This window comes from Homo sapiens, chromosome 20 (assembly GCF_000001405.40).
Source record: "Homo sapiens chromosome 20, GRCh38.p14 Primary Assembly".
NCBI lineage: Eukaryota > Metazoa > Chordata > Mammalia > Primates > Hominidae > Homo > Homo sapiens.
The window spans coordinates 50,491,774-50,506,732 of record NC_000020.11 but is presented as its reverse complement, the minus strand read 5'-3'; the positions used below and the strand labels follow the sequence as shown (position 1 = coordinate 50,506,732).

General features: G+C 47.0%; 3 annotated features.

Moving 5' to 3' along the window:
* Positions 2,147-2,441: an enhancer, noted in NCBI's record as "tiled region #4283; K562 Activating DNase matched - State 5:Enh". NCBI's record gives its function as "activates a minimal TATA promoter and a strong SV40 promoter by Sharpr-MPRA in K562 cells {active_cell/tissue: K562}" and the evidence as "EXISTENCE:reporter gene assay evidence [ECO:0000049][PMID:27701403]".
* Positions 6,821-7,050: an enhancer, noted in NCBI's record as "active region_18090". NCBI's record gives its function as "activates an Ori minimal core promoter by ATAC-STARR-seq in GM12878 lymphoblastoid cells {active_cell/tissue: GM12878}" and the evidence as "EXISTENCE:reporter gene assay evidence [ECO:0000049][PMID:35858748]".
* Positions 8,213-8,282: an enhancer, noted in NCBI's record as "active region_18089". NCBI's record gives its function as "activates an Ori minimal core promoter by ATAC-STARR-seq in GM12878 lymphoblastoid cells {active_cell/tissue: GM12878}" and the evidence as "EXISTENCE:reporter gene assay evidence [ECO:0000049][PMID:35858748]".

Below are 14,959 nucleotides of genomic sequence, written 5' to 3'. Positions count from 1 at the left end.
TTGAATACATGCAATTAGCTTGATCAGCAGTGTCTTTAGAAAGTGAGCATTCCATAGGGGAAAAATTAACAAAAATGCCCATTCCAGTGAAAACTGTGGGAGCTGCCACACTTGGAAGCTACCTAATTGAAGTCTTAGTTCCTTTAAGTGACTGTCCAGACTCCTGTGCTCCTCCCGCCCTTAAACCCTTATACTTTTTGGGTTCTGGTTTGTCTGGAACTCACAATCCTGAGAGCATCCTGGAACAAAAACAGGGCTGGTTCATTCCTGTCCCTGTATGTCAAGCTAAGTAAGTAAATAAATGCCCATCCCAAGCCCAAGTGGCCCTCACGCCTGCAGGGGGTGCTGCCCAGTGACTGGAGTAGCCTGTTTTGTTTTGTTTTGTTTTGTTTTGTTTTGTTTTGTTTTGTTTGAGTTAGAGTCTTGTTCTGTCACCCATGCTGGAGTGCAATGGCGTGATCTTGGCTCACTGCAACTTCCACCTCCCGGATTCAAGCGATTCTCCTGCCTCAGCCTTCTTAGTAGCTGAGGTTACAGGTGTGCGCCACCACGCCCAGCTGATTTTTGTACTTTTAGTAGAGATGGGGTTTTGCCATGTTGGCCAGGCTGATCTCGAACTCCTGACCTCAGGTGATCCGCGCGCCTCGGCCTCCCGAAGTGCTGGGATTACAGGTATGAGCCACTGCACCCAGCCTGGAGTAGCCTTTGAATGGGGCCGAAGCTATACACAGGGTCTTGGTGGGGGAGAGGGGAGTTGGAGGCAGCCTCAAGCAGGGTCCAAGTTTGGGCTGTTTAGAGGCTGTACTTGTTTCCAGTGGCTGCTGTAACAAATTACCACAAATTTGGTGGCTTCAAGTAACAGAAATTTATTCTCTCACAGTTCTTGAGGCCCAAAGTCCAAAATCAAGGTGTTGACAGTGCCGTGCTCCCTCTGAAGGCTCCAGGGGAGGGTCCTCCTTTGCATTCTCCAGCTTCTGGTAGCTCCAGTCATTACTTGGCTTGTGGCTGCCTCACTCTGATCCCTGCCTCTGTCTTGGCAGACTTTCTTCTCTGTATCTCCTGTTCTGCCTGCCCCATTTCCCTCTGCCCTGTTCCTACAAGGATGCCTCTCTTTGGATTCAGGGCTCATCCTATCCAGAACGATTTGGCAATCCCATCTCAAGATTCTTAAATTTATTACATGTGCAAAGACCCTTTTTCCAAATAGGTCACATTTACAGGTATGGGGACTTGGACATATCTTTTTGGAGGCCTCCACTCAATCTACTACAGTGGCAGAGAGTGAAACCTTGCCACAAATATTGATCCTGAACGAAACCCCTAATTTCAGGTACCAGCTAATTTGCCCTTCCATTCATTGTGTACATAGCTTTTAATATTTGGGTCATGAAACCCTCCTATGCAAAATCCTCCAACAGTTTCCCATCCTACTTAGAAGAAAACCCAAATCATGTCTAACCCTGGCCCACAAGGCCCACGTGACCTGGCCCGTCACTGTGTCCCCTCGCTTACTTCCCTGCAGTCTCAGGTCTATCTCCAAATATACGGGGCTGGCTCCCAACCCAGCATCTTTGCACCAGCTGTTCCTTCTGCCTGGATCACGCTTCTTGCAGATCTTCTCAGCTTTCAGGTCTCAGGTCAAACGTTACCTCCCCAAACAGGTCTCCCCTGACCACCTTCCCTAAAATAGTCCCCAGTCACTCTCTAGGGGAGGATCCTCCCTTTCCTGTTCTAGCTTCTGGTGGCTCCTAGCACTCATCTGTGTCTTATTTATTTGCTGGCTTGTTTCTTTCTCCTGCCCCTCAATGTCATGTTCTAGGAGGGCAGGGACCTCGACTTCTTGTCTGTTTCCTTGATATTTGGTTGAGAGGAGGAACTTAAGGTCTACTCCGACTCTCTGAGGCTTGGTGTTGATCTGCAAAGCTCTGGCACTTCCCTGCCAAGGCCTGGCCTAGAAGCAGCCATGCCCTGGGATCCTCCAGAGATGTGATGGTGGTGATTGGGAATCTTTAGTGATGACTGGTTAGAAATAGACAAATGATCATGTGACATGATGGCTAAAACCTTTTCCTGGCAGGCATGCCTGAGGAATGGTCTCACGCGGCTTCTCCAGCCTTTCCTTCGTGGATTTAGCTAATGGAGGAAATCAGCACTACAAATCAATGACCCATTAAACTTTTTTAAATGTCCTAAGAGTCGTCAGTGGAGAAGGATGGCTGTTTACCAAGCCTCCAACAGATCACTGACTCCTGACTTAGTGAGGTCAGCAAGTTTCCTGGAAAAATTGGTCCTGATCTTCTTCCTGGGAGATAGCACAGTTTTAAGAGCTTGTGATCCTGAATGAGCCCTACTGAGTCTCTAATGACATGTCACTTCCTCAGAGAGCCCCCTTCTGACCACTTCTAATAAACAGTGCTCTATCACTCTATTCCTTTTTCTTCTTGGCACTTAGCAGGCATTTAATGACTTATTTTTTCCCTAGTGTTACCATGTGATATGATGTTGTATATTTTTATGTGTTTATCATCTGTATCTGCCAGTAAATGTAAACTTCTTAAAGAAAGAGACTAAGTCGATTTGGTTCATTGCTGTTTCCCTGCAATACAGATCATTCCCAGAAGAGCATATCAGTTTTAGAAGGTTCTGGAAATGAACATAACAGGGCTTCTTTGTACATCATAGACTCAGAGTTCAAGAATCCTCAAGGTCATCTAGCTTCCTCCACTCACCACTGGGTACACATAGCCAGGAAGGAAGATGGCTCTTCCCCCCACAAGATTCACCCATGCTCGCCTAAGAGAGTTTGGGCACTTTGACTGGTTGGCTGACTTAGGGACAGCCAGAGACATCCCTGCAATGGAATAAGTAATGGGGAAAAGCCAAGGCCCAAGGCACTAGAAACTGGGTGCACAGAACTCCAACCTTCAGCCATAAACCATGCTAACTAATAGTGTTACCTTTTTTTTTTTTTTTGAGACAGGGTCTCACTTTGTTGCCCCAGGCTGGAGTGCACTGGTACAATCTCGGCTCACTGCAACCTCTGCCTCCCACGTTCAAGTGATTCTCCTACCTCAGCCTCCCAAGGAGCTGGGATTACAGGCACTTGCCACCACGCTTGGCTAATTTATTTTGTATTTTTAGTAAAGATGGAGTTTCACCATGTTGGCCAGGCTGGTCTCAAACTCCTGACCTCAAGTGATCTGCCCGCCTCAGCCTCCCAAAGTGCTGGGATTATAGGCGTGAGCCACCATGCCTGGCCTAAAAGCATTACTTTGAATTTTGTGTTTCCCAACAGCCCTGCAAGCCTGCTGTTTATCCACATTTGAGAGATGAGAAAATAGCTGCTCGGAGAGGCTAAAGAGGTGAAAGCAATGAACACCCAGTACAGAATGCTGGCTTGCATGCTGGATGACAGAGCACCGTGGTACAGAGCTAGGAGCTTCTAACCCCTGAGGCTGCTACTCACTAGCTTGCAGGCCTGGGTCAAGTTGCTAAATGGAAATCCTGGTGTCAGCCTGGATACTTTCCAGTGAGAAAAACCCAACTGAAAAGTGGCTTTCGCAAAACGGGGAATTTACTGGCTCATGAAATTGGGAAGTCCAAAGGAGGCTTCCTTGCTTCAGGCACCGCCAGATCCAGGGCCTCAAACGTCATTGTGACTCTCTCTCTCCCCAGCTCTTTTATGTTTCTTCCCCTGTGCTAGCTTCACTCTCGAGCAGGCTGTCCTCTAGAGCCCCAGCAGCCCCAGGCTCACAGCCTATCAGCTCAGCAGCTCCAGTGGGAAGAGCTTCTTTTCCCTGGTGGACCCTGAGTCCTGGCCTTGAGTCTCATTGATCCAACTGAAGCTCACATGCCATCTCTAATCCAATCCCTCTGCCCAGGGGAGAATTTGTCAATTGAGGAAACTGAGGCTCAGAGAGGCCAGTTATTTAACCAAGGTCATACAGCCAGTAGGTAGTCAAGTGGGATTTAAATCCCTGATTTAATCCCAGATGCAGCCTGATTTCAGCATCTATATTCTCAGCCATGAAGCTATACAGTCTCTCCAAGGACTCCCATGAGCTCTAAAAACAATAGTAATAACAATGAGGATAATAATAACGATAATCATTCATTAACACCACCACTCTGGAGCCTGTACTATTGTGATCTCCATTTGAACCGTGGCACAGAGAGGTTAAGCAACTTGCCCACAGTCACACAGATGAGAAATGGTGGAGTCAGGATTTGAACCCAGTTCAGCTCTATTTGCTGCTTCTAGTTCTGAAACTATATTAAATATATGAGTTCTGCACTATTTCAGAACTCACGGGAAGGTTAACAGCCCAGAATCTCCCACTCACGTCTCTACTGGGCTTCATTTTTACTGGGCTTCATTTTTAATGGGCGACTCCCCTGCCTCTCTACCACCCGGAAGACATTTTAAGCTTTACAGCAAGTCATTAAAAAGAAACAAAAATAAATGCGTAAACATAATCCCACGCTGCCTGTCTGGTAAGAGCAACTTCCCCGGTGGGGGAGGAGGAGGCATTCAGGGGGAACTAGGGGAATCACATGTGTTCTGAGAAAGGAGGGTCAGAGATGTGCGGGAAAGTTCAAGGAGGGAAGTTGGATCCAAAGATGGAAACCGGTCCCAGCTCCATGCTTTCAGCAAAGGAGGAGTCTGGGGAGGGTTTCCAGAGGCCCCTACAACATCCTCCACACTCTAGTTTGCAGGGCTGAGGCTTGCGGGGGCACTTTCACTGTACACATGGTGGTTCTGGGTGTGGGTTCTGGAATTAGGCTGAATTGGGCTCATGTGCCCTTGGGCAAGTTCCTTACCCTCTCCAATCCTTGGTTTTCCATCTTTTACAGAATGCAGGGATGTGATGATTAAATGAGAGTATGTGTGTAAAGCACTCAGCCTGGTCTCTAGTTCACAGCAAGGACTCAAAAATTTTGCTGTTGTTCTACAGTTGTGTAAGTTGCTGAGTGGAAAAAAGCAAGCTACCATCTGTCTTCAGAAGTTTTTCATAATATATATTGCAACCTGCAATTTTACAACCCTATTTTTTGTTCTGCTGCTGTAGGTGAACTTGGCTGGTTTCATGGGTGTGTGTGCAACCTGTGTGATTGCAGAGTCCCGAGCTCAGAAGGGGCCTGCACTTGTTTGCTCTGCTGTCTTTGTCTTGAAATTCTTTTGTTTGTTTGTTTGTTTCTTTGTTTTTGTTTGTTTTTGAGACTGAGTCTCGCTCTGTTGTCCAGGCTGGAGTGCAGTGGCGTGACCTTGGCTCTCTGCAACCTCTGCCTCTTGGGTTAAAGCAATTCTCCTGCCTCAGCCTCTCGAGTAGCTGGGATTACAGGCACCTGCCACCATGCCCGGCTAATTTTTTTTTTTTGTATTTTTAGTAGAGACGGGGTTTCACCATGTTGGCCAGGCTGGTTTTGAACTCCTGATCTCAAGTGATCTGCCCGCCTCGGCCTCCCAAATTGCTAGGATTACAGGTGTGAGCCACCGCACCCAGCCTTGAAATTCTTAATAATTTTTTTTTTTTTGAGATGGAGTCTTGCTCCGTTGCCCAGGCTGGAATGCAGTGGTGCAATCTTGGCTCACTGCAACCTCTGCCTCCCAGTTTCAAGAGATTCTCCTGCCTCAGCCTCCCGAGTGGCTGGGATTACAGGCACCCACCACCACGCCCGGCTAATTTTGGTGTTTTTAGTAGAGATGAGGTTTCACCATGTTGGCCAGGCTTGTCTCAAACTCCTGACCTCAGGAGATCCACCTGCCTCGGCCTCTGAAAGTGCAGGGATTACAGGCATGAGCGACTGTGCCTGGCCGAAACTCGCAATAATGTTTGAACAAGGAGCCCCGCATATTCATTCTGCATTGAGCTTATGTAACCAGTTCTGGAGGTGAAGTCTAGTTTTTCAAGTTTTTGAAGGGGATTTGGAGCCATTTTTGTCTTTGAAGATGAGAATGTTCTTCCATTATTCTGGGAGAAATCACTGCTCTTGGGGAGAATCCTAAGACAGTGATATTATCCAGATGCAGATTCCCCATGTTGAGTTGTTTCTTATTGTTTAATAATACTAGTTATGTTAGCTACATGTATTGGGCTTTGACGAAAGACTAGGCTCTGCACTAAGCTAGCACTTTACCTTTATCATCTCTCTACATCTTCCCAACAACCCTGTAAGAGAAACTGTCATTAACCTCATTTCACAGATGAGGAAACTGAGGCTTGGAGTGATACATGACTTGCCCACTGTTGCACACCAGCATTGTGATAATGCATGTAAGTTGGGTGGATCTGTACTAGGACCATAGCCTTTTAGAAAAGAGGAATGAATTTCTAAGCTTTGATTTAGCTAGAAGGGTTCCTGAAGTCCTTGGGAAAGATGTGTACCTTTTTGACCAAGTATTTGCTCCAGCAGTTTCTGTATTTGAAGATGAAACTGGTCTTCTGTTTGAGACTTGACTGTGCAGAGAAGAGGCGCTGACCTGAACTTTCCTTCCCCTTGTGCTGGTGGGAAGCCCTTGGAGAGGACTCTGATTTGGAATAACTGAAAGTGGAGGGACCCGGGCTTAGGGGATCGCACTTACAACTCTTGTGATGGCCTCATCCAGGCCACAGGGAAGTGAGCTGCAAGGGGAACCACATGGGGAATTGTACTTTCTTCAGGAGGACATGGATATTCCCACTGCCCATATCCTGGGGTAGGCAAGGAAGCCAGACTCACTGTGGGAAGGGGAGGGCCTTTTGCTTTACCTGGGGCAAAGAGGAGAAAGAGGGGGTCCTAAATTCTAGGGAGAAGAAGTTAGGCAGCCATCATCCACGGGAGGTAGGCTGGTTCTCACAGCATGACAGCATGCTAGAGAGAAAGGAGGGTGAAGACCAGCAGGAAGGAAAGCATGAAGCAGCTATATGGCCTCCAAACATGATTTATTTACAATTTCATTTTGCATTTCCCTTTTCTGCATTGTAATTCTCACCTGTTATCCCCAAGGCTTCAGTAAAATTTTGTTAACTGCTATGGGCTCATCTTAGCTGCTGGGTCAGATACTAATTGTCCCCAGTGTCAGTTCTCTGCTTTCATAGAAACAGGATTGTAACTGGGCACATGCCTGCCTGGCTAAAGACTACATTTCCCAACTTCCCTTGCAACTAGATGTGCCATATGACTGCATGCTGACCAATAGGACCTGAGTGGAAGTGACGTGCACCATTTCTAAATCATGCCTTTAAAGGCTTGGTTCAGGAACAGTGTGGGGTGGGGTCAGGGTCTTTCTTTTTTTTTTTTTTTTTTTTTGAGATGGAGTCTCGCTCTGTCGCCTGGCTGGAGTGCAGCGATGCCATCTCAGCTCACTGCAACCTCCGCCTCCCAGGCTCGAGCAATTCTCCTGCCTCAGCCTCCTGAGTAGCTGGGACTACAGGCGCGTGCCACCACACCCAGCTAATTTTTGTATTTTTAATAGAGATGGGGTTTCACCATGTTGGCCAGGATGGTCTTGATCTCTTGCCCTTGTGATCTGCCCACCTTGGCCTCCTAAAGTGCTGGGATTACAGGTGTGAGCCACCAAGCCCGGCTGGGTTGGGGTCTTTCTTTCACCTTTTCTTCCATAGTACTGCCTGGAATGTGACATGGTGGCACCAACTTGAACTGTGTGGACAAGAGCAACATGGAAGGGATGGAAGAAAACAAGATAGAAAAAGCCTGAGACTCTGACCCCATGGGCCAGCCCCATTAGCCCCAGACTGATCACACACACTGTTACATGAACAAGACATAAAAGGGCTGATATTCAGCTGATATGCACAGCTACAGTCATCCTGATTGCTTGTAGGTATCATTCTGACTGGTTAGAAATAAATTTCTGGGCTGGGCATGGTGGCTCACGCCTGTAATCCCAGCACTTTGGGAGGCCGAAGTGGGCAGATCATGAGGTCAGGAGTTCGAGACCAGCCTGACCAACATGGTGAAACCCCGTCTCTACTAAAACTACAAAAATTAGCCAGGTATTGTGGCAAATCCCTGTAGTCCCAATTACTTGGGAGGCTGAGGCAGGAGAAACACTTGAGCCCAGGAGGTTGCAGTGAGCCGAGATCACACCACTGCACTCTAGCCTGGGTGACACAGCGAAACCCAGTCTCAAAAAAAAAAAAAAAAAGTAATAAACTTCTGCTTTGTTTAAACCGCTGTTAATGAGGGTCTCAGTTACAGTAATTAAACCTATATTCTAATCAATCCAGCCATGTTTTGGGGGCTGTTAAGGAAGAGGGCTGGGTACTACTTTCAAGTTGAGATGGTGTTAGTGACAGGAGCACCATCCTGGTGCAGACAGTTAGGAGGTGGCAGACAAGGGCAGTAGATGCCCTGGGAGAAAGGGCTCACTGTGGTTGCCAAGCAATCACAAGCATGGTCCAGGGAACATGAGAACATCCCCCAGAGACTCTGAGTAATATCCTGCAGAAAGAACCTGATGAAAGTTCTGTCTTGTTAGGGTCATGGGGTTCCGATGTTAGATATTAAAGAGGAAGCTGGAAATCTGGGGGATGGCTGGGGTTATAAACAGGGCCCAGTGAATGTTAATTCCCTTCTGAGGCAGACACTGTTGGTTGCCTATCTATTCATCTTTCTCTTCCCCCTTCTTCTTGGCTGACAGTGCCAAGAAGAAAAAACTGGGAGGCCCCTTCAAAGCCTCCTTTGCATCAGGGCATGGGTATGGGACTCAATCCTGGCCAATGGCAGTATTGCAAAATCTGCCCAAGAGCTTCTGGGAAAGATTTTCCCTTCTTGTAAAGGAGACATATGGGGCCAGGCATGGTGGCTTACGCCTGTAATCCTAGCATTTTGGGAGGCCGAGGCGGGCGGATCACTTGAGGTCAGGAGTTCAAGACTAGCCTGGCCAACATGGTGAAACCCTGTCTCTACTAAAAATAGAAAAAATTAGCTGGGCGTGGTGGCGGGCACCTGTAGTCCCAGATACTCGGGAGGCTGAGGCAGGAGAATGGCATGAACCTGGGAGGCAGAGCTTGCAGTGAGCCGTGACTGCACCACTGCACTCCAGCCTGGGGGGACAGAGCGATGCTCCGTCTCAAAAAAAAAAAAAAAAAAAAAAAAAAGAGAGACATATGGGAGGAATTATTTTTTTTTAAAACCAGGCTAAGATAGAGGAGCAAAAATATAAAAAGCACTTAGGTCCTTGACATCACTGAGTTATCGAATTGTCCCTGGGACTGCCTAGCTCTGGACTTATTTGAAGACATCATAAACATTTTTACTACTTAAGCCACTTTGGGTTGGTTTTTTTGTTACCTGCAGCTGAGAGCATGCTAACTGATACAGGGTCTTTGTCTTCTGTCTCTACCTTCCTTTAGCCCTATGGGTCTCATGTTTAGACACATTCCTTCCCCAGAGCACCAGTTGTTTGGAAGTCAAGATCTTTTGGAAACTACCTGTATTAACTTATCATCACTGCCTGCTAAATAAGATTCTCTCTGGTCACTCCTTACTTCTTCATTTCAGGAGCGAAATTGGTATCTGGTGGGGTGAAAGCAGAACCTCGGCCTTCATGCAACTCTGTGTTTGGGTATGGAATGATCCTCTCATATTGGTCTTAGCAATCTGCACGTGTGTCTCTCTCAGCCCTCACAGTCGTGGATCCTGTAGTATTCATCTTGCTATGTCCCCAGGGCCTAGCCCAGGACCTGGGCGAGAAGAGGTGCTCCCTGAATGCTTGTCAAATAAATATATGAAGAATTAATCATCACATCCCATTTTATCACCTCCCTAAACAGAGTCATTTTCCCTCCCCACTGCCTTCCTGCATTCCTCTAGGGCAAGATGGTTCTTGCAGAGAGAGAGAGAGAGAGAGTGAGAATGAAGAAGAGGTTAACCCAATTGTCATTTCCAAAGCAGCTGTTAATCCCTGCCTTCTTAAATTACCCTTATTGTACCCACTTTCAGCCTCAATGTTGGGTCAGCACTGAGGCAACTCTGACTTTGGTCTCCTTTAAAAAAAAGGAAAAAGAAGGAAGGAGGGAGAGAAGGAAACTCTGCCTGTATTCAAACCATTTCAAGAAACATGGTTGAACTAAAGAGAGAAGCAATTTAAAGTGGGTGTTTTCACACGCAGAGCTGGAAGTTCTAGCATTGGAGGTAGGACATTTTTGTTGTTCTTATTTCTTTTTCTTATCACAAAAGGAATACTCATTTAATGAAGAAAACTTGAAAAGTGCATATAAAAGAGACACAACTTACTTTTTTTTTTTTTTTTTAAACGGAGTTTCACTCTTGCTACCCAGGCTGGAGTGCAATGGAGCGATCTTGGCTCACCGCAACCTCTGCCTCCCAGGTTCAAGCAATTCTCCTGCCTCAGCCTCCCTAGCAGCTGGGATTACAGGCACGCACCACCATGCCTGGATAATTTTGTATTTTTAGTAGAGACAGGGTTTCTCCATGTTGGTCAGGCTGGTCTCGAAATCCCGACCTCAGATGATCTGCCTGTCTCGGCCTCGCAAAGTGCTGGGATTACAGGCGTGAGCCACTGCGCCTGGCCCACAACTTACTTTTAACTCTTACTACCTGTGCTGGTCACTGCTCACGTGTTGTGTGTGTGTTTTTTGTTTTGTTTTGTTTTTGTTTGAGACGGAGTCTCACTCTGTCCCTCAGGCTGGAGTGCAGTGGTGCGATCTCGGCTCACTGCAAGCTCTGCCTCACGGGTTCACGCCATTCTCCTGCCTCAGCCTACCGAGTAGCTGGGACTACAGGCGCCCGCCACCATGCCCGGCTAATTTTTTTTTTGTATTTTTAGTAGAGACGGGGTTTCGCCGTGTTAGCCAGGACGGTCTCGATCTCCTGACCTTGTGATCTGCCCACCTCGGCCTCCCAAAGTGCTGGGATGACAGGCGTGAGCCACCGCGCCTGGCCACTGCTCACATTTTGGTAAGCACATTTTCACAAGTTCTTAGGTCTCTCTGTCACTTCATCTCGATCTTCATCCTCCCTTTATTCTAACCCCTCCCTTTCACTCTGTCTTTCTGAGGTCTCTGTCTCTCTCTTTCTCTTTTTATCAATTTTTTTTTTTTTTTTTTTTTTGGTGACAGAGTCTCACTCTGTTGCCCAGGCTGGAGTGGCACAATCTTGGCTCTTTGCAAGCTCTGTTTCCTGGGATCAAGTGATTCTCCTGCCTCAGCCTCCCAAGTAGCTGGGATTACAGGCATGTGCCACTACGCCCAGCTAACTTTTTGTATTTTTAGTAGAGACAGGGTTCACCATGTTGGCCAGGCTGGTCTTGAACTCCTGACCTCAGGTGATTCGCCCGCTCAGCCTCCCAAAGTGCGAAAGAGATAAATACCCCAGCTCCTTGCTTCTCAGGTATGGCAATGTGGAGGCATGGCCCTTACATGGGTGGGTTTGAGCCCCACTGGCCCACATGCTCATTCATGTCCCTTCCCAGACATTATTTGAAGACATTATTTGAAGACATCAGGAGCATTTTTACTGTTTAAGCCACTTTGGATTGGCTTGCTACTTGCAGTTGAGAGCATGCTAACTGGTACATGGTCTTTGTCTTCTGTCTCTATCTTCCTGTAGCCCTATGGGTCTGAAGTTCAGCCATATTCCTTCCCCAGAGCCCTAGTTGCCTTGGAAGTCAAGATCTTTTAGAAGCCACCTGCATCAACTTTTCACCACTGTCCTAAATCAGAAACTTCGTGGTCACTTCCCCACTCCTCACCTGCTGCCTCCAAGGATCTCCTCAGGAATAAATTACTTGCATTTAAATCCTTGTCTCAGAGTTGGCTTCTGGAGGAACTCAGATGAAGATGGCAGACTTATCACTTTTCCTTTTGTCTAACTAAAAGGCTTCAAATAGAAATCAATTATTCAACTGATTATGAATCCAAAAATTTCTGGCATATTTGAAAGAGCAGATCATCCCGACTTTTAGTCCTCAAGATATCAAAAATATTGCATCTCCATCTAGCACCTCCCCCCCCATTACACACCTGCTTTGTGCTAGGCACTTTACATGTGCAACAGGATGATGTTAGGGGTGCTCTGAGTCTCTTGGCCTAAGTTCAAAGGTCATTCAGCAGTTGGGGTCAGCCACCTTCCTTCACGGCTCGCTGTGGAGCCATTTCAGCAGAATGGCAGCCCATCCTTATGCCCATTCTACCGTGGGCGTCAAGGAGAAGGGGAAAGAGAGCACGTCTTGCTTCTCCTGCTCCCCCTACCCATTGTCCCAGCTCCAAGCCACTAGAATCATGAGTCTGGCTTGAACTGGGTGACATGGGGCCAGGGGATCTAAAAGAACTTTGAATCAGATCTGAGAATGAAGTTTTTTCCAAGGAAATTTATATTGAACTATAAAACACATACAGAAAAGTATATGTGTGTACATGCACACAGATATATCATAAGTGCACGGCTCAGTGAATTTCCCCAGACTAAACATGCTCACATAACCTGCACCCAGATCAAGATACAGAACTCTCCCAGCCCCTCAGAAAGCTACCTAGTAACCCTCCTAGTCACTACCCTTTGCCAAGGGTGACCACTATCCTGCTAACACCCTGGATTGCTTTTGCCTGTTTTTGAACTTCACATAAATGGAATCATGCCGTGCATGCTTTTTGGTGTCTGTCTTCGTTTGTTCGACATCATGACCATGAGACTGGGTCTCGTTGTGCTTCACTGGTTGAGACTGACATTCTAATTGGAGGAGATTTGGGTTTTAAGACCTGAAATAGACAGCTTTGGTAACCAAAGAGTCAGTCAGGCATGCTATGGAATTGTTGAGAGGCTGGTTGAGGAAGCCCATTCTTTAATAGCTCCGTGACTTTGGGCAACTCATTTAAGTTCTTTTTTCTCTATTTCTGTAAAATGGAGATAACTATTGGTCCCTACCTCAGAAGCTCATTGTGAAGATTTGGTGAGTAATATATGCCAAGAGCTTAGGCAAGTGCCTGGCACAGAGGCGGGGCCACCTGGGAGCTTGCCGCTACCTCTGCTCCTGCCTCTACTACCACTACTCTGTTATTCTGATCATTCCCCAGAGGGAAAAAGGAAATTTCAACAGAGACCATTTGGTAGCAATTATTGTAAAAATAAAGTGGTTTCGTAGTTACACCTCAACAAGTTGAGACGTACCCCTGAACCAGTTAGACATGTGTCACCTCAGTTAAAGTTCACATCAGCCCTGAGAAGTGAATGCTTGTTTGACAAATGAGGCAACTGAGGCTCAGAGGGAGAAGCAACGCACTCCCTCAACTCACTCCCACAGGGTTACAGAGCGAGCTGGTGGTGGAGCCAGGGTCTCTGTGACCCTGTGTGCTGTTCTCCTTGCCCTTTTACCTAATTCTCCTGCTGGAGCTGGTGGTCCTTAGGATGCACTGGGATGACCCCATTGGACTGCCTTTGGCATGACCTTCTAAAGCATGTGGTGCTGCTTTAGAACTTATCAAAATATTTTCTGTGTGGATTTCCCATCAGCCTGTTCACATGAGGCTTAATCTTTCTTGTGGGTCTCATAAGTAGCACTTTATGAAATACCAGGTGAGTCAGTCATACTCAGCAAACGAGTTTTATGATGACTAAGAATGTTGGGGCTTTTTGCTGAAATTAGCCAACTGAGGTAACAGAATTCTTCCATTGCATATCACAGAAATTGGTTCTGGTCAGGCCGGGTGTGGTGGCTCATGCCTATAATCCCAGCACTTTGGGAGGCCGAGGCAGGCGGATCTCCTGAGGTTAGGAGTTCAAGACCAGCCTGGCCAACATGGTGAAACCCCATCTCTACTAAAAACACAAAAAATTAGCTGGGCCTGGTGGCGGGCGCCTGTAATCCCAGCTACTCGGGAGGCTGAGACAGGAGAATCGGTTGAACCTGGGAGGTGGAGGTTGCAGTGAGCCGAGATGGCGCCACTGCACTCCAGCCTGGGCAACAAGGACGAAACTGCGTCTAAAAAAGAAAAGAAAGAAAGAAGGAAAAAGAAACTGGTTCTTACCAACAGAAACAGAAAAGGAATTTGTTAGAAGGATATAAGGTGCTTTTTAGAAATGGAGCAAGAAAGCTCTGAAACCAAGTTTAGAAAGAATTGGCCACATGATGCGCTGGGGGATCTTGCTGGCATCAACTCACGAGTGTGCTCTTCAGCTCTGAGGGTGCGGCACTCAGGACGCTTTGGCTGCAAGTAACAGAAAACTCAACTCAACCTGGCTTAAGCAGTAAGGGAGTTTATTGTAGGAAGGGCAACACCAAGGTTGGTTGATTCAGAGGTTCAAGAATGTAATTGAGATCCAGGGTTCTCTCTCTTTCTTCCCATTACTATCCATGTGTTGGCTTTATCTGAAAACTGGTTCCCTGTGGCTGCAAAACGGGGCACGCTGCCAGTAGTGATTATGACGGTAAGATCATTTGCTAAATCATCCAGTGCGAAAGAGAGGGAGTGTCTCCCCATAGCTCTCTCTTGAGAGTAAGGAAATGTTACTGCCAGAAGTCCCCAAGAAATCTATCCTGGTGTCTTTTTTTTTTTTTTTTTTTGAGGCAGGGTCTCACTGTGTTGCCCAGGCTGGAGTGTAGTGGCGTGATCATGGCTCACTGCAGCATCAACCTCCTGGGCTCAAGCAATCCTCCCACCTCAGCCTCCTGAATAGCTGGGACTACAGGAGTGCACCACCACACCCAGGTAATTAAAACTTTTTTTTTTTTTTTTTGTAGAGACAGGGTCTCACTATATTGTTCAGGCTGAACTTGAACTCCTGGCCTCAATGATCCTCCCACCTCAGCCTCCCAAAGTGCTGGAAATACAAGTGTAAGCCACTGCAGCCAGCTCCCCTGGTGTCCTATTGGGCAAAACTGGCTTGGGCCTGTTCACTCCTGAACCAATCATCAGCAAGAGGCACAAGGGATGATTTTGGCCCCCAGGGGACATTTGACAACGTGTGAAGACATTTTTGGTTATCATAACTAGGA